At 42.2% G+C, this 22,323-nt stretch overlaps 2 protein-coding genes across 7 annotated transcripts in view, besides 1 other annotated feature; both read left to right on the top strand.

The window, feature by feature from the left end:
• PECR (peroxisomal trans-2-enoyl-CoA reductase) overlaps positions 1–21,701 on the top strand; it is a 52,722-nt gene extending 31,021 nt beyond the window's left edge. For 2 of the 5 annotated variants that reach the window (NM_018441.6, XM_047445108.1), the window contains 3 exons: positions 1,416–1,526; positions 6,774–6,885; positions 11,429–12,401. In NM_018441.6, the coding sequence (NP_060911.2) occupies positions 1,416–1,526; positions 6,774–6,885; positions 11,429–11,514 (309 nt within the window). In that variant the 3' untranslated portion in view covers positions 11,515–12,401. Of the gene's footprint in view, positions 1–1,415; positions 1,527–6,773; positions 6,886–11,428; positions 12,402–17,936 lie in introns of those variants that run through there. The other 3 variants (XR_007078553.1, XR_007078552.1, XR_001738847.3) reach the window with 3 other exon arrangements.
• Positions 16,693–22,323, top strand: part of MREG (melanoregulin) — a 94,789-nt gene continuing 89,158 nt past the window's right edge. Inside the window, exon 1 of one of the 2 annotated variants that reach the window (NM_001372189.1) lies at positions 16,693–16,827. The gene's annotated coding sequence lies outside the window, so the exon portion shown is untranslated. Of the gene's footprint in view, positions 16,828–16,984; positions 17,107–22,323 lie in introns of those variants that run through there. The other variant, NM_001372190.1, reaches the window with a different exon arrangement.
• Positions 18,305–18,534: an enhancer, noted in NCBI's record as "active region_17083". NCBI's record gives its function as "activates an Ori minimal core promoter by ATAC-STARR-seq in GM12878 lymphoblastoid cells {active_cell/tissue: GM12878}" and the evidence as "EXISTENCE:reporter gene assay evidence [ECO:0000049][PMID:35858748]".

Below are 22,323 nucleotides of genomic sequence, written 5' to 3'. Positions count from 1 at the left end.
GCTGGGACTACAGGCACCTGCCACCACCCCTGGCTAATTTTTGTATTTTTAGTAGAGACGGGGTTTCACTGTGTTAGCCAGCGTGGTCTCGATCTCCTGACTTCGTGATCCACCCACGTCTGCCTCCCAAAGTACTGGGATTACAGGCGTGAGCCACTGCGCCCAGCCTATCTATAGATCTTATCTCTGTAATATCAGTAGGTGTTATCTGTGCCACTCAATGAAGACTATGCATGACTGACTTCAAGCATGAAGTTAGTAATCTCATCTCTGACAAAGGTGTTGCTACTAATATTAATTCATGTTTGCCTTCCAGAGACTTTTTTGGTTAAATGATCAAATTTTAATACTTCTAGATTTTATCCTCTTTAAATAAAAGGCAACATATTATGTAATTGGAAACCAATATATCTCTCCAGTATCAGTATCATTTGAAGTTATTAAAACTGCCACATTTTCTAATTTTATTTTAACTTCTCTTTCCGCCCCTTCTCTCCATAATTCAACAGTTTGAATCCATTACAAATAGCTGTATCCTGTGAGATACAATTTTTTTTTTAAATGTTTGAGACAAGGTCTTGCTGTGTTGCCTAGGCTGAAGTGCGGTAGTGCGATCACGGCTCACTGCAGCCTCGAACTCCTGGGCGCAAGCGATCCTCCCAACTCAGCCTCCTGAGTAGCTGGGACCACAGGCAGGTACCACCATGCCCAGCTAATTCTTTTTTATATTTTTTGTAGAGACATAGTCTCCCTATTTTGCCCAGGCTGGTCTCAAACTCCTAGGCTCACACAATCCTCCAGCTTCACCCTCGCAAAGTGCTGGGATTACAGGCATGAGCCACTGCACCTGGCCTGGGATACAGTTTTTGAGTAATTTTCCTGACCTTAGAAAGCCAGTGAAAGATACATTTAAAAATTCCTAAACAATGAAAAATTTAGTTTATTGGTATTGGACTCAAATGCTTTATTTGCGATTTCAATCTAGGTAAAAAGCCAAGAAAATATTGCATTTTTCTAAGTCTCACGTAGCCATTGCCCAGTCTTCTCTTGTAAAGCAGAGAAGCCAAATGGAAACTAAAATAGACAGAGTCCCCTGTCCCATTGTTCCCAGTTAAGTGCCTCTTTCATTTACTTACACAATCATGACCTTCAGAAAACAAGTCTTTCATGAAAAAATCCAGGGCATGGTTAGGAGGAAGAGGAGGTCACAAAATAACTATTCAGATCATCCATTTGTGGATGGTGGGGACTGTACTTCTTTGACAACATGGAGGAAATTTAATATCAGCACTGTTAACTTTTTTTTGACTTAAGCTACTTAATGTTTGAAATGCCAGTAGAGTATCTTGATATCTTTATAATTAAAATTTAATATAATACACTTTATTTTGTCCCTGTTTTATTTTTAAACACAGGGAGTTATTTATTCCCAGACTGCTGTGGAGAACTATGGTTCCTGGGGACAAAGCTTCTTTGAAGGGTCTTTTCAGAAAATCCCCGCTAAACGAATTGGTGTTCCTGAGGAGGTAAGGTATATTTCCAGCATTGATTAGAATTGCTGTGTGTTATACTTTGGAATTTGTAATTCAGTGTCATTTTTATGCGGTCTGGACGACATTATTTCTCCCACTGCCAGCAGAACATTTCCCCTGTTCTTTCTGGCTGTCAGGGATATTCTGGTTGTGCTTTGGCTACTGACAGCAATCTGTACTTGAGAGTGAATGTGGTATAAATTAATAACAGCATTTTTTTTGTTAGTTTGTTTTACTGTATTTTCAGCTACATTATTTTATTACATGGCATTTGTTGGTACACAGGACCCTAAGCAAATTAGACAACTATGGCCATATGAAGTTCCACATGAGATTTCGGTTAAGGTTGAAGTCTGTAAAATCAGCAGCTTTCCAAACTGCCAGCAGCGGTTTTTTTTTTTTTTTTTTTTTTTGCTTGAGACAGTGTTTCACTCTGTTACAGGCTAAGTATAGTGTCACGATCATAGCTCACTGCAGGCTTGAACTCCCACCTTGGCCTCCCAAAGTGCTGGGATGATGATGATGACGATGATGAAGACGATGACTTTTTTGACAGAGTCTCTTTGTTGCCCAGGCTGGAGTGCAGTGGCGCGATCTTGGCCCACTGGAACTTCCACCTCCTGGGTTCAAGCAATTCTCCTGCCCCAGCCTCCCGAGTAGCTGGAATTACAGATGTATGCCACCACACCTGACTGATTTTTGTGTTTTTAGTAGAGGCGAAGTTTCACCATGTTGGCTAGGCTAGTCTCGAACTACTGACCTTAAGTGATACGCCCACCTCAGCCTCCTAAAGTGCTGGGATTACATGTGTGAGCCGCCACACCTAGCTTTGCATCAGTCTTGAAATGCAATTTTTTTTTTTTTTTTTTTTTAAGAAAACAAGGCCAGGCGCAGTGGCTCATGCCTGTAATCCCAGCACTTTGGGAGGCCGAGGCAGGCGGATCACGAGTTCAGAAGATCGAGACCATCCTGGCTAACACGGTGAAACCCCGCCTCTACTAAAAATACAAAAAAATTACCCGGGTGTGGTGGCGGACACCTGTAGTCCCAGCTACTGGGGAGGCTGAGGCAGGAGAATGGTGTGAACCCGGGAGGCGGAGCTTGCAGTGAGCTGAGATTGCACCACTGCACTCCAGCCTGGGCGACAGAGCAAGACTCTATCTCAAAAAATAAAATAAAATAAAATAAAGAAAAGAAAAGGATGTCTTTCCCACAATAATAAAAATGAAAATAACTAGTAGTAAACTTACCTCTAAATGAAAAAAAAAAAAAATCACCTGCCTCCTTAGGGCAGTAGGCAGTGCATCAGTTTCATAAATGAAAAAAACAAAACAAAACAAAAAAACCCCTTTTTCTGTGAAGCAGCAAAAAGACCAGATTAGGGGCATATAATATTCCTTGATGGGGAGAACCAATTTTATTAAAAAGTCAGGTTTCCCTAAATTATAAATTTAATATCTTTTGGGAATTTAACACGCTGATTCTATCAAAAATATGTATGCAAAAATTGCCAAAAATGTTTTGAAAATGAATAATGGGAGGATTACCCTTCATGGTATAATGAAACCATGAAGCTATATTTATTTATGTACTGTGTATTTACATACTATGAAGCTGTATTTATTTACAGCATCTGGTGCTGGTAATGAAACATATTAAAAATAGTAGAACAGAACAGATTCTTGAATTGGAACCATATGTGGGAGTTTATGGAGTCAAAGTAGCATTTCAATCTGTAAGGAAAGGATAAAACACTCAGCAAAGTGTTGGGGGCATTTGGCCGTTTAGTAATAAATTAGACTCCCTATCCTGTATTATATACAAAATAACTTTCAGATTTATTGAAGTGATAATTATAAAAGCAAGCCCATGAAACTCTTTAAAAGAGTTATCATGCTTAGAACTAGCTTTTATTATCAGTTTGGTGAATGTCTTTCCAGAAATGTACTTTGCATGCATTAAAAATTTGTATTTGTTGACTTTTTTTTTTTTTTTCCTGAGACGAAGTTACACTCTTCTTGCCCAGGCTGGAGTGCGGTGGCACGATCTCGGCTCACCACAACCTCTACCTCCTGGGTTTAAGCGATTCTCCTGCCTCAGCCTTCAGAGTAGCTGGGATTACAGGCATGCGCCACCACACCTGGCTAGTTTTGTAGAGACAGGGTTTCTTCATGCTGGTCAGGCTGGTCTTGAACTCCTGACCTCAGGTGATCCACCTGCCTCAACCTCCCAAAGTGCTGGGATTATAGGCGTGAACTACCACGCCTGGCCTATTTATTGACTTTTTTACGAAAACAGAATTTACTCTGTGTTATTTTCTGAAACTTGTTATGGGTATACTATAATATCATCAAATCCCATTATGATTTGGATTTTATTTATATTTTTGTTCTTGCAGTAATTCTGCAATGAACATTATGAATATAATCATGTACTCTTGGGTGAGGGGATATGTTTCTAGAAACAGAGTTCCTGAACCAAAATAGACTTGCATTGTATTTTGGAAGATACTGTTAAATCAAACATTTGATGAGCCATGTTAACCAAGGTCTTTGGATTTGTATTCTGAAAACTAAGAGTAATATTTAATGAATTTTAATCAAGGCAATTATATTACATTTTTATTTTTGATAGAATACTTTGGGAGGCTAGGCACAGTGGCTCACACCTGTAATCCCAACACTTTGGAAGCCTAAGGCAGGTGGATCACTTGAGGTAGGAGTTCAAGATCAGCCTGGCCAACATGGCGAAACCCCGTCTATACTAAAAAATACAAAAATTAGCCAAGCATGGTGGCATATGCCTGTAGTCCCAGTTACCTGGGAGGCTGAAGCAGGACAATTGCTTGAACCCGGGACACGGAGGTTGCAGTGAGCAGAGATTGCGCCACTGCACTCCAGCCTGGGTGACAGTGAGACGCCTTCTCAAAAAAAAAAAAAAAAAAAATATATATATATATATATGTATGTATATATATATACTTTATGTGGTTTACATTATCTATATTTGCTGTATTAGAAATTAAAACCAAAATTTAAGAAATATTATTAATTCATTTTAAAATAGTAATAAAGGAGTACATGTTAACATAAATAACATTTACTTTAAAATAGCTACATTTAAAAAAAGAAACAAAAACTTTTTTTTTTTTTTTTGGTTCAAGCGATTCTCCTGCCTCAGCCTCCTGAGTAGCTGGGATTAACAGTCATGCACCAGCATGCCCAGCTAATTTTTGTATTTTTAGTAGAGACAGTGTTTCACTAAGCTGGCCATGCTGGTTCGAATTCCTGGCCTCAGGTGATCCACCTGCCTCGGCCTCCCAAAATGCTGGGATTACAGGCGTGAGCCACCGCGTCTGGCCGGTTTTTTGTGTTTTTGAGGGAGTGTGGTTTACAGATTGTTAGAGGTTGTGACTACTTGGGTGGGATGGTTGTTGTCTGGATGGCATTTCAGAAAGGAGCTCATTGGAGCAAGTCTCTTTTTGATGCGCTGACTTTAACAAACATGTTCATTGGCTGAGTTGTCACTACTGGATCAAACAGGGTTAAAACCAGCTCTGTTGCTTGTTACCATGTCTCAGTACAATCTGCCTTTTCACAGTAATGTGGGACCTTTTAAATAGTGAATTCTATACCAGCCCTGTCCAGTAGAAATATACTAATAGTCACATTTGTAATTTTAAACTTACCAGGAGCCACATAAAGTAAAAAGAGGTGAAATTAATTTTAATAATATATTTGACTTAGCCTAATACATCCAAAACATCGTCATTTCAACATGTAATCAACATGGAAAATTGAGATGATTTTCTTCATCCCTCGGAGCATCCAGGATTAATGAGATATTTTACATTATTTTTCCCATACTCAGTCTTCAAAATCCAGTGTGTGTTCTATACTTACAGCACGTCTCAATTTGGACCAGTCATACTGAAAGTGTTTGAGTAGGCGACTATGTCTAATGGCCTCGTTTTAGATAGTGCAGCACTGTACTAGCTGCTGGGAATACAAGGATGGAGAGAAGGCTTGGCTGCTCTCCAAGCTCTTAGAGTCTCAAGGAGGTATAGCCTTGTGAATATAGGACCAGGACTGGGATGAGGCAAGCAAGGCATGGACACAAAATTTAAGGACCCACTCCCTCTGAGGGAAGATTTTGCACTTGTGCAAACCTGAGAGTGAATACCTCCTTAAATCTTGCACCCTCGACACCTTATTTGCCTCACCCTAGTCCTGGCCCTGCCTGGGGGCCTTTTAAACTGCAGATTCTGGGACCCCAACCCCAGAGCTTACAATTGCAATGATCCTGGAAGGATCTAGGAATCTGAAGTCTCAGTAAGCATCCCTAGTGATTCTAATGCAGGTGTTTTGGATCATCACCCTTTGAGAAACTCTGCTTCTTCCCACAGCCTCAAGTGAGAGCTCCTTTACAAGTCAGTGAAATAACTTCCTTCTGTTTGGGTTGGGAGTAGATGTTGCTGAACTCATCAGTTCCCTATTTGAATTTTTAAGGAGTACAGTGGGAGTCTGAAGTGCCTTTGGTTTATTTTTATTTTTATTTTTTTGAAATGGAGTCTCACTCTGCCACCCAAGCTGGAATGTAGTGGTGCAGTCTTGGCTCACTGCAACCTCTTAGGCCCACGCAATGCTCCCACCTCAGCCTCCTAAGGAGCTGGGACCACAGGTGCCCGCCACTGTGCCTGGCTAAGTTTTTGAAGTTCCTCTTGTAGAGAGCTCCTTTGAATGTGTGTTGCTGGGCTTTTGGCCTGACAGGACCGCAGACTGAACAAACCAGAATGCTAGTTTATTGCTAAACAGACACATTGACTATTTCAGGGACCAAAACATAAAAGGCACGAGGTAGTGATGGAAAATGGGGTTGTGGAGGACAATGAAAGGCATGGAAGGAAGTGAATTGTTTGAAATGGGAAAGAGCAGAGCTGAAGCACTGAGTTCACTTATGGCTTCTTGACGTCATGTAGCTTGCTTGACATCGTCTAAGGCTCCCTCATACCTTGCCACCTTTACCCTAGTCACCTACCTGATTTCGGTGATGCTCAGGTAGAAAGGGAAATTGTAGGAAAAGGAAGTTGTCTATGTACTGTGAGGTTGTGGTGCACATGCACACACTGTTGGATTCATGTTACAATCATGGGCTTTGAGATGCCTTTACTGGGGAATGTGAGGCGGTTAGAAATGGGGAGTATTTGCTTTTACCTATGCACATGTGTGTTTCTGTTTCCAGGTCTCCTCTGTGGTCTGCTTCCTACTGTCTCCTGCAGCTTCCTTCATCACTGGACAGTCGGTGGATGTGGATGGGGGCCGGAGTCTCTATACTCACTCGTATGAGGTACCAGGTGAGCAGCTGAGGAATGAGCAGTCACCAGCTTTATGCTGTGTCATGTTCAGGGGTTTAAAATTTATTATAAGTAGTTACTTAAGAGATGAGGGTGCTCTCTTATAGAACATCAAAATGTACAAAATGTTTATATTCATGATGTGATTTTTTTAATGAAATATTCCTAGTCACAGAAAATATCTAACTATCTATATTATGGAACTGAGCTTTTTGTGCATGCATAGGTTGGTGGAATTTGAACCCTGAAAAATATTCTCAGTATATGTTTCGAAAGAGGAGACAGAAAAGAGGCAAGAGCATGCTATAGTTTTAAAGATTTAATTCCATTTTGTTCCTCCAGTAAATGGCTTACATATCTGAGCAGAAGAATCAGGCCTGCTAGGTGGGGTGGGGTGCTATGGTGCTATTTTGTGCTCTCTTTGAGATATATATTGAATGAAGGCATATGAAATTTCTGTATTCATCATTTTTGATGTACAAAAACAGAAATTTGGCCGGGTATGGTGGCTCATGCCTGTAATCCCAGCACTTTGGGAGGCTGAGGCAAGTGGATCACTTGAGGTCAGGAGATAGAGACCAGCCTGGTTAACACAGTGAAACCCCGTCTCTACTAAAAATACAAAAAAATTAGCCAGGCTTGGTGGCGGGTGCCTGTAGTCCCAGCTACTTGGGAGGCTGAGGCAGGAGAATGGTGTGAACCCGGGAGGCGGAGGTTGCAGTGAGCCGAGATTGTGCCACTGCACTCTAGCCTGGGCGACAGAGTGAGACTCTTATCTCAAAAAAAAATATATATATATACGCATACATATATATGTATGTGTATATATATACATACATATATACGTATGTGTATATATATATACACATACATATATACGTATGTGTATATATATATACACATATACGTATGTATATATATATACACATATACGTATGTGTATATATATATACACATATACGTATGTATATATATAACAGTTAGTCGGGTGTGGTGGCGGGCACCTGTAGTCTCAGCTACTTGGGAGGCTGAGGTAGGAGAATCACGTAAACCCAGGAGGCGGAGATTGCAGTGAGCCAAGATCATGCCACTGCACTCCAGCTTGGGAGATAAACCAAGACTCTGTCTCAAGAAAAAAAACCAGAAGTTTTATAAGTTTAAATCAAATATTGATATTACATGCAAATGCCTTTATGTGTGTGTGTGTCTCATGACTAGATAACAGAACTTTGCGGTTTGAAGGGTCCTAAAAGATCACAAAGTCCAGTATCCTAGTTTTATAAACAACAAAACAAATCCACAGACGTTAAAAGGTTTATCTAAGCTAATAACTCTAAATCACTCCAAAAATGTAGTAAAGGGTATAAAATGCAAATGTATTGAATTTCTGTTGTTAAAGATAATTAAGTGGCTACTAGCAAATTAATAGATGGTTGATGTAACCCAGGTGAATCTGAATTTCATATCAAGGACCCAGGGTCTACGTACTCTTTCAGGTGCTGACAGTCTGATCAAGGCTTAAGGCCTTTTTTGCGTTAATAAATGATTGGTGTATGTGAGAGGCGAGCAAAAACTCAAACTGGTTTTCCTCTGCTCTCACAACACAACAACCATTAGCACGGAAGACTTCTGTGACCAGTTGTTTGGGGTTACTTCCCCCGCACAGCAACCAAGCAAGCAGTTCTGCAGCAGACCCCAGCTGGGCGTCCTCTCATTCAGTTCTGACACTGGAGATAGGATCAGATCCCACAGGCTGAGGGCTCAGTCCCACAGGATGCCCCCTGCTTTGGACACCATCACAAGTCTGGGCCTCTAAAACTTCTGACTGACTAGCTTCAAGTTGGGGTTCCCACGACCCCCTCTTTGGGTTGGAGTAATTTGCTAGAGCAGCTCACACAACTCAGGAAAACACTTCGATTTACTGGTTTATGATAAAGGATATTACAGGAGATACAGCCGAAGGGGTGCACAGGGCAAGGCATGTGAGAAGGGGCACGTAGCTTCTGTGTCCTTTTTGGCCCCACCACCTGCCAGGAACCTTCATGTGTTCAGCTATCTGGAAGCTCTTGAACCCAGTCCTTTGGGTTTTTATGGAGGCTTCATTACATAGGCATGGTTGATTAAACCATCAGCCACTGGTGATCAACTTAACCTTCAGCCCCTCTTACCTCCCCAGAGGTTGTGGGGTGGGTATGGGCTGAAGGTCCCAACCCTGTAATCATGCCTTGGTCTGTCTGGTGACCAGCCCCTATACTGAAGCTAACTAGGGGCTGCCAGCCATCAGTCAATCATTAACATATAAGAACACATCACTTTGGCGAGTCTAGGATATTAGGAGTTGTATGCGGGAGATGGGGTTGAAGACCAAATATATGTTTCACAATATCACAGTATAGAACTTTAATTTTACTTATTATTTTCCCCTCCCACATGTATTTCATTACTAATAACATCAATGTGGTGATGTCCATAGGATACTGTAGTTTTAAGGGTCTTGGTTGGAAAGAAGAAATACCTACATGGTTTTGCCATATTGTTTTCTGAAAAAAATTCCAAGTAGTGAGGGTGGAGAGAATCTTTCCACTTCTCTCACAGTAGACTTCAGTCACTATTTCTTATCGCAGGTTGCACTGTTTTACCTTTAGAAGGGAAAGAAATTTCAAATAGCTTCTTCCTTAGGCCTTCAGTGACATGATTTTCTTTTGTAATTCTAACACTTTTTATCATTAAAAATATTTTTTTCAGTTTTTGAGGAAAGCGGGTACATCTATCTTTTAAGAATATACTGCCCCCCGAATAATGAGATTATTCAGCCTTTCACTATGGTGTTTTCTTTTAAGATTGGCAGCTCCAAGGTGAGAATGCCTAAGATGGAAACTTGGCTCTACCCTTATTAGCCGTATGATTGTGAGAAAGTTAATTTCTATAAGCCTCTATTTTGTTCCTGTATGCAGGGACACATACAGTATTTATTTCATAGAGCTGTTGGGAGGATTAAATTAGATAAGGGACTTTTTCTTTTCTTTTTTTTTGAGACAGAGTCTCACTCTTGTTGCCCAGGCTGGAGTGCAGTGACATGATTTCGGCTCACTGCAATCTCTGCCTCCCAGGTTCAAGCAATTCTCCTGCCTCAGGATCCAGAGTAGCTGGGATTACAGGTGCCCGACACTATGCCCCACTAATTTTTTTGTAGTTTTAGTAGAGATGGAGTTTCACTATGTTGGCCAGGCTAGTCTCGAACTCCTGACCTCAGGTGATCCGCCTGCCTCGGCCTCCCAAAGTGCTGGGATTACAGGCATGAGCCACTGTGCCTGGCCTTAGATAATGCACATTTAAATCCCTATGTCAGGGGCTGGGCACCATGGCTCACACCTGTAATCTCAGCACTTTGGGAGGCAAAGGTGGGCCAATTGCTTGATCCCAGGAATTCAAGACCAGCCTGGGCAACCTGGCAAAACTCCGTCTCAACAAAACATTTAAAAAATTAGCCTGGCATGGTGGCATGTGCCTGTACTTGGGAGGCTTAGGTGGGAGGATCACTGGAGCCCGGGAAGTCGAGGTTGCAGTGAGCCATGATTGCACAACTGCACTCCAGCCTGGCTGACAGAGCAAGACCCTGTCTCAAAAAATAAAAATTAAAAAAATAAAGTCATTTGTCGAATTGGATGCTTTTAGTCACAACTCAAAATGGGCTCATCAGTAAAGGAATTCGCTGGCACATAACTGAAAAACAGGTAAGACTTGACTTAGTAGCTCACTGATCTCATCAAGGACAAGTTTTTCCCCTGTTTCCTGTTTTTGCCTCCATGGTGTTGGCTCTATCTTAAGGCAGGCTCTCCTCATTGCAGGATGGCTGCCTGCTGTTTCTATGTGTAAGGCTGATACTTCTGTGTTCATACCCAGATGCACAGAGAGAGGGCTGGAGGAGTGACTTTGTTCCAGAATTTCTAACAAAATTCTGAGATCCACTCTATATTCGATCAACTTATGCAAATGTCCATTTCCAACCAATAACTGTGGCGGGGTTATAGTGCACTGACTGACTTAGCTTAGACCACATGCCTTGGTGCCAAGCTTCCCTGGCACCTTCTAGATCGTTAAATGGAAACAAGCTGTTGGAAAGAAGAGATGGGGACCTGGATGCTGGAGAGGCAAGTAGCAGTGCCTGGTACAAAGTAAGGACACTATTTTTAAATTGTGATTATTAAGGAGACACTATTTATTGACGATCCACAGTATGCGAAGCACTGCACACATGGTGTCATATTTAACCCTCACAACTTTAAAAGGTAGATATTGTTGTATCCTTTAATAGAGGAGGAAACTGAGGCTCAGGAAGAGACATGTGCCCAAATTCAGGAAAGCTAACGTGTGGCAGACCTGAGATTCAAATTGAAGTCTTTTCTCAAATGTTTGCCCTAAGGATTTATTTTTTGGTGCTGAGAAAATGTGTGAACCAGGGAAATTAACAAGAGGATTTGGTGGGAGTGAAGAGGGCAAATGAGATTTGCAAGTGACAGGAGGCTTTCCACTTCTTTAACAGATCATGACAACTGGCCCAAGGGAGCAGGGGACCTTTCTGTTGTCAAAAAGATGAAGGAGACCTTTAAGGAGAAAGCTAAGCTCTGAGCTGAGGAAACAAGGTGTCCTCCATCCCCCAGTGCCTTCACATCTTGAGGATATGCTTCTGTACTTTTTAAAAGCTTATAGTTGGTATGGAAAACATTTTTCTTATTTTTAAGTGTTATTAATTATATCTATGGAAAAACTATTCCTGAAATATATACAGTCTTATGTCCCAATCAGAGTCTTTTAACCTATGATTTAAAAATGTATAAGTAACAGAAATTAACATATTTTAATGACTTTACTTTTTATTTCTAAGAAAAGTATTTGAAAAATGGAATAATTTTAAATCAATGATAATTCTAGGGATCATGAACTCCCAGAAGATTTTATTATTTAATTGTAAAGGTAGAGGCCAGACGCAGTGGCTCACGCCTGTAATTCCAGCACTTTGGGAGGCCGAGGTAGGCGGGTCAGTTGAGGTCAGGAGTTCAAGACCAGGCTGGCCAACATGGTAAAACCCTGTCTCTACTGAAAAACAACAAAAACAAAAACACAAATTAGTCGGGTGTGGTGGCACACACCTGTAGTCCCAGGTACTTGGGAGGCTGAGGCAGGAGGATCGCTTGAACCCAGGAAGCAGAGGTTGCAGTGAGCTGAGATCATGCTACTGCAGTCCAGCCTGGGCTACAGAGTGAGACTGCATCTCAAAAAAAACCCAAAAAACAAAAACAAACAACAACAACAAAATTATAAAGGTAGAAAATAAACCTAAATTGTGTCGTAATTAAGATTATTAAAATTAGAATTATACAATGACTTATTTTTGGTGGCAAATACTTTAGGAGCAATAATGCCTTATGGTAATTATTGATGTATAGTTTCTTTTGTTTATGAAGTCAAATTTGTATAAATTCTCTTAATTCAAAGAAAAAGTTTTATGTGATTTATTTTTGGCAGTGCCTGATTTGTGTCTTGATTTTCTGTCCAAAGTATTCCCTTTTTTCCATGTATCTCCTTTTGTAGGCAAAAACAAAATTTCAGTTGCATGCAAATGTATTAGGGTTCCATATTCTGCCTTCCGTGGCTCCAGTCTGATAGTTAGACCCTTATTGAAGAAATGCCTTTAGCAGATTGAATATGTTCATTCTTTGTCTTAATCAAAGTTCTTTCAAGTATCTGAGGTGAAGTAGCTATTTTCTTTTTTTTATCATTAACACTCACTTTATTTATTTATTTATTTATTTATTTTTAAGATGGAGTCTCACTCTGTCACCCAGGCTGGAGTGCAGTAGCATAATCTCGGCTCACCACAACCTCCACCTCCTGGGTTCAAGTGATTCTGCTGCTTCAGCCTCCTGCGTAGCTGGGATGACAGGTGTGCACCACCACGCCCGGCCAATTTTTGTATTTTTAGTAGAGATGGTGTTTCACCATATTGGCCAGGCTGGTCTTGATCTCCTGACCTTAAGTGATCTGCCCGCTTTGGCCTCCCAAATTGCTGGGATTACAGGTGAGAGCCACCACGCCCGGCCTGTCATTTACCCTCATTTTAAAGTGTGTGAGTTACCAAGCTCTGGGGTTTGGGACCCAGAATCTGCAGCTTTCTCATGCTCCCAAGCAGGGCTAGCACGAGGGAGAGGCTAATGAGGTGCCCAGGGTGCAGCATTTAAGGAGCTATTCTCCATTGTCAGGTTTGTGCCAGTGCAGAATTGCCCCTGAGAGTGAGTGTGTCCTTCAATTTTGTGCTCATACTAATAATGTGGGAAGATCAGAAAGCTTCATTTTCCTCCCAGATAGCCCTTTAACAGTGGCCTTCTGGAACTGATAATATCATAACAACTGAGAATTACAAACCATGTTAGAGGGAAAAGTGGCCCTAATACAGGTTGGTGGAGAAGATGGAAAAGGCAGGGCTTGCTTTCACATGACCTGTGTTAATGACTGCCATCGACTCCTTAAATCTCCATAGCGTTGCCAGTTATTTCTGCTTAAGGGACAGAACCTGCCTATGTAGCACTAAACTTAGGTACAACTGCTTATTAGAGCTTCTTCTTAGACTATCACTGGACAGCTGGTCATTATCTATATTTTTAGAATTATGAATTTATTATCCAGGACTCTTATGTACATCATAATAGTATCCTGTCAATAATGTACTTTTGCAACTACGCTTAGTAAATTTTGTTGTAGAGTGACTGTTCTTGAATAGGCTTAATAATTTGGAGCACCTACTATGTATTTAGCATTATGCTAGGAGTCAGACATGCAATGGTGAAAAAATACACATGTATCTTGTCCTTACTGAGCTTACAGTAGGGAGAGATTGAGAGAAAGAGAGAGAACACGAGTGCTATAAAGGATAAGGCCATGATGTCCACGGCATATAACTGAAAGACAGGAAACAAAATGAAAATTCTATATTTATGTAAAAAGAGTTTGTTGATAAAGATGACCCTTGTGAACATTATACCTCCCCCACACTAATCTTATGCTTTGTGGCTTATGTTCAGGTCCTCTGAAAAGCAGGTGCCCAGACATAATGAGATTTGCATGACACTTATTGGGTACCAGGCCCATGAAGGATAAGGGCAGGGAGCCAGAGAAGGCAGCGATGGCCTTCAGACCATGCTGCAAGGCTGACCCCTGTAAAAGAGAGGGGAGAGAGGATTGGGCAGGAGGCATCTCAGATTGCAGCAAAGTGATGCTTTCTTAAGACAGGCTTGCTGAAAGTATGCATTGACATTTACAGTGGCCCACAGGAATACCAGCAGGCGCTCAGTGGGTCATGTGGATTCTCTACAGTGTAAAAGTAACTCTCTCTCCTCCTGCTGGTGCCTGGACAAAGGGAGTTCAGAGATCAGTTCCAGCATCAGTCATAGTTTGTAGCTCACTGGGACCTTATGTCCCCTGGCAAGAGCCTCCCTCTTTGGCACCAGGATTTCCAGTGCTGCTATTCTCCTTAAATCCTGCAGCAGATCATTGGGAATGATGGAATGCAGGGCCACTCCCAGTTTCATCTACCGGATCCCAGACATGGTCCCAAACCTACTGGGGACATGCATCTTTGAAGACAGCAAGCACTCCATCCTGGCCCTTCAGCTGGGTCTTGGTTGTTCAAGCCCTCTATGAGGCTGGCTGCCTATGGATGGTGCGGGGTGTGGATACACAGTGGTTCCACAACCAGGGGCTCACTCTTTCGTCTCCTTCACTGGGAGGTGAGTCACCTGATTGGATGCTATGCCCCATGGGATTCCATGCCTATGGTTCAGGCTTTCTATAGCCCCCAGATAGTCATGGTGTCTGAGTCCCTGCAGGCAGGAAAGACAAACTCTTGCCTGGAAGAGGTATCTGTCACTATGAGGAGTGACGCAGAAACCACACAGCAATTTGAACAGGGCAAGTTAAAAGTGAAGAGTGATTATCACAGCAGATTGGAGTAGTGAAGGACTGGCTAGTAGGAAGTAAAAAGAACTTGAACATGAGAATAGCAGATATCAGGAGTAGCCTGCACCACTAGGACTAAGACTGAGAGCTCAAAGAAGAACCTTGGCTGGGCGCAGTGACTCATGCCTGGAATCCCGGCACTTTGGGAGGCTGAGGTGGGCAGATCATCTGAGATCAGGAGTTTGAGACCAGCCTGGCCAACATGGTGAAACCCCGTCTCTATGAAAAATACAAAAAATTAGCCGGCCTGGTGGCGGGCGTCTGTAGTCCCAGCTACTAGTGAAGCTAAGGCAGGAGAATCACTTGAACCTGAGGGCGGAGATTGCAGTGAGCCAAGATTGCACCATTGCACTCCAGCCTAGGTGACAGAGTAAGACCCTGTCTCGAAAAAAAAAAAAAAAAGAAGAGCCCTCCATAGCACCCCTGGGGCTGACACCCAGATTGAGTAGGGAGGGCATGGCTGTGAATCAGTGGAGGGCAGAGAAGTCACTGTGGTGCTCTGCTGGTGGAACTTGCTAGAAACCTGCCCTCTGGCATCCTGGGGAAAACTGTACAGAGAAGTGTCCTACCAGAGGCCTCTGATGCAAAACCCCCTGAGGGAGGTGCTGGGAAGCTGGTGCTCCTTAGCACTCCTGTGAAGCAGTCTGCACTGCACGGGTCAGGAAGCAAAACCCTCTTCCTCCTCCAATGTCTCTCCATCACCCTCTCCCAACAAAGCTTCAGAGCCCGCTGGCTCAGGGGAACAACTTAGAGGACCCAGATCCATTTTCTCAGAACAGAGGAGCAATTACATCTGGAGCCTGCCACTTGTCGACTGGCCGTCCTGTGGCCCATTGGTCTCCTTAAAGAGCAATGCCACTTCAGGGCTCAGCAATGATCTGTGTTGCAGGAAGGTTGGACATGCAGGGGCAGTGACAGCTCCGTTGACCTTGGTTAACAGGGAGTCCATGCTAATGGGCCGTCTACAGCCTGCCTCCATCACTGTGCCTGTCACACCAGTTCTGGGCTGGCCGGTGATGAAGTCCAGCTATCAACTGGCTGAGTTTTCTTGACTGCTTGGTTGTTCTACACCTCTTCCATGAGGATTGCATTCTGGGGACATTAACGTGGGAGGCGGAAATGACACTCCCCTGGAGCGCCCACTCCCCTGGGCTCATCCGTAATCCTCTACCCCAGACCTTGTTTCCTGGCCACTGTATATATTCTCATCTCGGGCCACTTTTCATTCCATTGTAGATACCAGTTGCACTCTCACACGCTGCCCATTAGAAAGATTTTCCATCTCCACCATCACGGGGCCACTCCTGAATAGAGCTATAATGAAGTTCTGACAACTGTGAAGGAGAGAGAGGAGGAAGGGAATTGGGTAGGAAAAAAAAATATCACAGACTGCAGTACAGTCCAAGAAAGAGAGGGCCAGGCAGATGGGAAGTCCTCAAGGCAAAGTCACCCATGGGAACCACCCTTGTCCCAAGGGAATAGCCTAGATGGACAGCAGGGCTGTGCTTGTCACAGGCCAGGAGCAGCCCGAGGGGAAGGCAGTGATGGATGGAGAGGGGCAGCAGCTGGGACCCACAGCCAATCAATTTTGTTTCCTGTAGCAGGAGGTCTAAGGGGTTTCTTTTCATGGCTGCCATTTGGCTATTCTGCAACTGTAAAACTTCACCATTGATCTCATTCATTTTTTAACATGACCTGGGGCTTGGCTCAAAGCAGTGCCACCTTGTGGTTAGTTTTGGAACACCAGCCTGTCTGGGCAGTGGCTTCTTAGGATGCAAGACCTGCTTGCAAAGCTTCAACTTGAGCTTTAGTTTCTTCCTTTGGTATTTCTTCTGCACTCCTTGTTTACAAGGATTTCATTTCAGCAAAGGAGCCATCTATTGAAATAAGATCAACCAGCGGGAAGATTCTAAACCATATTCAGGAAAGGTATGCTACGTCAAAACTAGCGATTACTGAGCCCATGTTTTAAGACAGCCAAATCTCTAGGCTATTTTGGATCTTATCCTGGACAACACTATTTCTGATTTGTATGGTAACCAAGGCCCTCTGTGGGTTAGTTTCAGCTTTCAAGCAGCCGTGGCTCAGTCTAGTGAGAGGCAGTCCTGCGTTCTGCCTGGTGGGAGTCAGAGTCTTAAGATTTGCCAAGTCCTGATGCCATCAGCATTCACATTGCCTTACAGAGGTCTCCTCCCCACTCCAAGATAGGTAGGCCCACCACCTGTTCTTGTCTGCAGCCTTCAGACTTGTTCTCCTTGAGGTCTTCAGTTCCGCAATAGGAAATATCTTGAAATCCCCTTCTTGACTGAGGCCACCCTTTGCTGAGGTTACTGACCTTTCTGCTTGCTGCTTCCTGGCATCCTGTTTCTCTCTGCTTATTTTGCCCTTTTCTGCCAGTTCCTTCAGGGCTCTTGTTGGATTCTCTCTTTCCATGAAGTACAGATTTTAGAGTGCACTGGAGTCCAACTGCTTGGGTTCGAATCCCAGCTTCTACCACTTACTCGCTCTTGTGAAGGCATTGAGACAGCGGAGGAATTTGTATGCAAAATTACTGGTCATTTTATTCAACGTGATAATGGCATGGCAGTTGTTATTATTTTTTATTTAAGAAATGTTGATTTCTAGGATTTACTTTAAAATATTCCAACTTAAAAAAATGGAGGAAGGGGGGTTGGTGAAATGAGATTGGCAACATGGTAATAATTGTCTAAGCTGGGTGGCAGATACATTATACATTATCTGTCTGCAGCTATATTATACATTATATGGTTAATTCTACTAGTCTCTCAATCTTGGGTAAGTTTAGAAGTTCCCCAACTAAAAGGTGTAAAGGTTTAAAATGTGTAAAATGAAAATGGCCTCATGAATTATGAATGAATTATTTGTATTCAAATAATTGTGGTTGGTTGTGGAACACCAGCCCGTCTGAGCAGTGCCTTCTTAGGATTCAAGACCTGGTTGCAAAGCTTCAACTTGAGCTTTAGTTTTTTGCTTTGGTATTTCTTCTGCACTCCTTGTTTACAAGGATTTCATTTCAGCAAAGAAGGCATCTATTGAAATAAGACCAACCAGCAGGAAGATTCTAAACCGTATTCAAGAAAGGTATGCTACATCAAAACTAGCAATTATTGAGCCCAAAATGAATTATTTGGATGGGGGTAACATGGGGAAGAGTGAGCTGACTACATATAAAATTTACTGGGGAGAAACAGGAGGGAGTTTGCACTGAGCCTCCTGTAGTTTATGGTGGTTCATGAGTGTGGCAGAGAGAGTGGAAGACCAGGTCCCAAATAGAATATATGTTTGATGGTGTAAAGCTATTGCCTTCTGACCTGGATTCTGCTCTGCAGGCCCTAGGAAGACCCCTGTACCCCTGGTCAGCCTCCCATGCTGGGTTAGCATTACCAGTTAGTCAGCTCTAGCATAAGCCAACTGGGTCAACGGAGGGTTGCAAGAAATGGACAATGTCATCCAATTATTCTATAGCATTGTTGTACCTGAGTTCATATGCTTTGAGTGGGGAAATTATATCCAGTTGGTAAATTTGGAAAAAAACTCAAACAAATCAGCAAAGTAAAAACAATATTCCTTGTTTCTCTTGCATATTTTGGACCATTTGGCTTTTGTTTTCATTTCTCTGGACTGAGTTACAAGTTTAGTCAGAGTTTGTAGTTCTAAGTATGACTCAACAGAGTCAGCTTTTTCAAATGCAAATGATTATCATGGACTTAAATAGCAAGGATTTGAAGAAAAAGAGTCATTTCTGTAAGTGATTCACAGTAGATGTAAGTTAGAATTTCTTACCCTGTAATTTTACCTTCTGCATGAAAAGCTGTCTATCAAAGGCTATTTTGTTAGATGTCTGGCTTCCTGTTCTCAGATGAACCAAGAAGAGAGGAACAGCCTATTTCTGGTTTTACTGAAGCCTTTTAAAAATCCTTGATGATTTAAGAAATACAAAAATACGGAGAAGTAGAGAGGTTCAATTAGAGTTTATAGTAAAAGATGAGGAGGAAGATAAAGTCCTCAGGTAGGTAAGACTTGCTGCGAGATTTAGCTGTGAGACATTGAATCTGGATTAGTTTCAATGGGATTGATTGTGAAGTGGAGGTAGGCTGGTATGGACATTAGGGGAATTGGGGTAAATGGATGCTTTTATCCAATTCTTTTCATTTCCCTTTCTTTCTTTCTTTCTTTCTCTTTCTTTCTTTCTTTCTTTCTTTCTTTCTTTCTTTCTTTCTTTTCTTCTTCCTTCCTTCCTTGTTCCTTTCTTTCTTTTCTTCCTTCTTTCCTTCTTTTCTTTCCTTCTTTCTTTCCTTCCTTCCTTCCCTCCCTCCCTCTTTCCTTCCTTCCTTCTTTCTTTTCTTTTCCCTTCCTTCCTTTCTCTCTTTCTTTCTCTTTCTTTCTTTCTTTCTCTTTCTTTCTTTCTTTCTCTCTTTCTTTCTTTTTCTTTCTTTCTTTTCTTTCTTTCTTCCTTTCTTCCTTTCTTCCTTTCTCACTCTGTTGCCCAGGCTGCAGTGCAGTGGTACAATCTCAGCTCACTGCAACCTCTGCCTCTTGGCTTGAAGCAATTCTCCTGTCTCAGCCTCCCAAGTAGCTGGGTTTACAGGCGCCCACCACCATGCCCAGCTAATTTTTGTATTTTTAGTAGAGATGAGGTTTCACCGTGTTGGCCAGGCTGGTCTCGAACTCCTGACCTCAGGTGATCTGCCTGCCTCAGCCTCCCAAACTGCTGGGATTATAGGCGTGAACCACCATGTCTGGCCTATGCAACTCTTTCTAACGCGTTGTTACCATTTTACTTGGAGGAATGAAACAGAAGACAGATATTTCAGTGAGATACAGAGCAGATGTTTTGATGAGCAAGCAAATGAGAGAGAGAGAGCAGGGACAGAGTGTGTGTGTGTGTGTGTGTGTGTGTGTGTGTGTGTGTGAGAGAGAGAGAGAGAGAGAGAGAGAGAGAATGGGCCTCATAGTGGGCTTGTGTGTTCAAATTGGAATGCCGAAATAAATTGCCCACAGAATTAATTAAACTATGGAATCAAAACATCTGTAATCCTAGCACTTTGGAAGGCCAAGGCAGGCAGATCACCTGAGGTCAAGAGTTCAAGACCAGCCTGGCCAACATGGTGAAACCTTCTCTCTACTAAAAAAAAAAAAAGAAAGAAAGAAATACAAAAATTAGCCAGTTGTGGTGGTGCATGCTAATAATCCCAGCTACTTAGCAGGCTGAGGCACAAGAATCGCTTGAACCTGGGGGCGGAGGTTGCAGTGAGCTGAGATTGTGCCACTACACTCCAGCTTGGGTGACAGGGCGAGACCCCGTCTCAAAAAAAAAAATTGCAAAATATTTTGGGTAACAATAGCTAGCATTTATTAGGTGATTACTATATGCCTGACACTGCTAAGCCCTTTCCATGCATTATCTCATTTTAGCCTTACAAAAACTCTGTGAGGTAGTTTCATTATTACCAGCATTTTACAGTTGAGGAAACTGGCATGAACAGGTCAAGAAACTTGTTCAAGATCTCAGCACATGGCAGAAGTGGCATTGGAACCAAAGGAGTTTGGCTTCAGAGCCCCGACCCCTGCCCTGTACTGAGAGAGACAGACCAGCACCAAGGACAATGAAGAGATTATTTTGAAAATTTTTAATGGAATTTCTCAAACACAGGCTAAAGAGAATAGTGTAATAGTACCCATCACCCCCAATAATCTATATTTTTACAAATTTGTCTATCTGTCCCCCTTGATTTATAAGTATTTTAGAACAAATTTGAAACCTAAATCTTCTTTATAACCTTTTAACCTGTCATTTCAGAGCAAGCAGTAATTTTAAGGTGGTTGAAAATATGAATGTGAACACAAAGATGGGGCTCACAGTGGGAGACTGGTCCACCATGATAGCATATGAGAAGCCCATGTGACCACCATGAGCATGTGCACCGACCACAGGCCATAAGAGATACGACTCAGCCATAGGCTACAAACATTTGGTTTGCTTGGCATGCACATTCCTCTCTTGTAAAATGATGCATGAGACTCTCAGAGCTAAATTCATTAAACCATCTCCTTTTCCTCTGAATCCCTGTCAAAAACAAATCTAAAACTTTGATTTGCTGTGCAACTTTGCCTGAAGGGAAATACTGGACTATTCTGGCCCTAGGCATTTTCAGCCATGCTGGGAGTTTTGTGTTAGTCTAGGCTGTGTATTTCAGCTTCTGGCGAGTTTGTGAGCATGACTTAGCATCCTTGTATTTTGAGAACTCTGGAAAGAGGGATAACAAGTTTGTGTTTCTAGTTCTTCAAGCCCAAGGGCCAGCCTGGAGGCAGGGGGAGGTGCATAAGCACCTTCTGCCTTGTGTTTATCATTTTGCCTTTGTCGTCCTAACTCAGCAGCCTCAATCCTTCTTTTGAGATGGAGTCTCACTCTCTCGCCAGGCGGAGTGCAGTGGCGTGATCTCAGCTCACTGCAACCTCTACCTCCCAGGTTCAAGCAATTCGCCTGCCTCAGCCTCCTGAGTAGCTGGGACTACAGAAGCGCGCCACCACGCCCAGCTAATTTTTGTATTTTTAATAGAGACAGGGTTTCACCATGTTGGCGACGATGGTCTCAATCTCTTGACCTCGTGATCTGCCTGCCTCAGCCTCCCAAAGTGCTGGGATTACAGGCGTGAGCCACCACGCCTGGCCAGCCTCAATCCTTCTTTACATCTGCTGCCATCAAGCTGCTTTCATCCTTTTATTTTACAGGAAATTATTTATTTCCTTTTAAATAAATAAATAAAGATGAATATAACATCTTTTTTATTGTACTGGTATTTATTTTGGAATTGCTACTTGTAAGTGCTCTGGTCAGAAATTTGTGTATCTTGAGTGGTCTGCACTTAACTCCATATTCCAATGGGGGGAAAACCAAAACTGTGTCTCTCTTTTTCTCTCTCAGAGAAAAAGCCTTATTTTTTTCTTCCTTTTTATGTTCTTTTTCTTTATTGTGGTGTAACTAATATATATAACATAAATTTTGCCATTTTAATGATTTTAAGTGTGCAATTCCTACTGTTGTTATAGACAATTACAGAATTGTCTGTAATTGGTAGAATTCAAATTTCTCAAACAGCAAGATAAATTCAAATATGCATTACCTTAACACTATACAAATTCGAATTCCCAAAATCCAAGTATGTTTGAGAAAATATCTAGAGTACAGTGAGAAAAAATGGAATTAAATAAATACACAATTACTGGAAATCTATGTCAGCTATCACACATTAAAATCCTGCCTAGAAATATCAAATGGAATTTTTTCCATTGATCTGTATATATTTTCAGATTATCTGGGTTTTTTTTTTTTTTTTTTTTTGAGATGGAGTCTTGCTGTGTTGCCCAGGCTGGAGTGCAGTGGCGCGATCTCGGCTCACTGCA

Source organism: Homo sapiens, chromosome 2 (genome assembly GCF_000001405.40).
Source record: "Homo sapiens chromosome 2, GRCh38.p14 Primary Assembly".
Lineage (NCBI taxonomy): Eukaryota > Metazoa > Chordata > Mammalia > Primates > Hominidae > Homo > Homo sapiens.
Note: the sequence above shows the minus strand (reverse complement) of the source record. Positions and strands in the feature narration are given on the sequence as shown.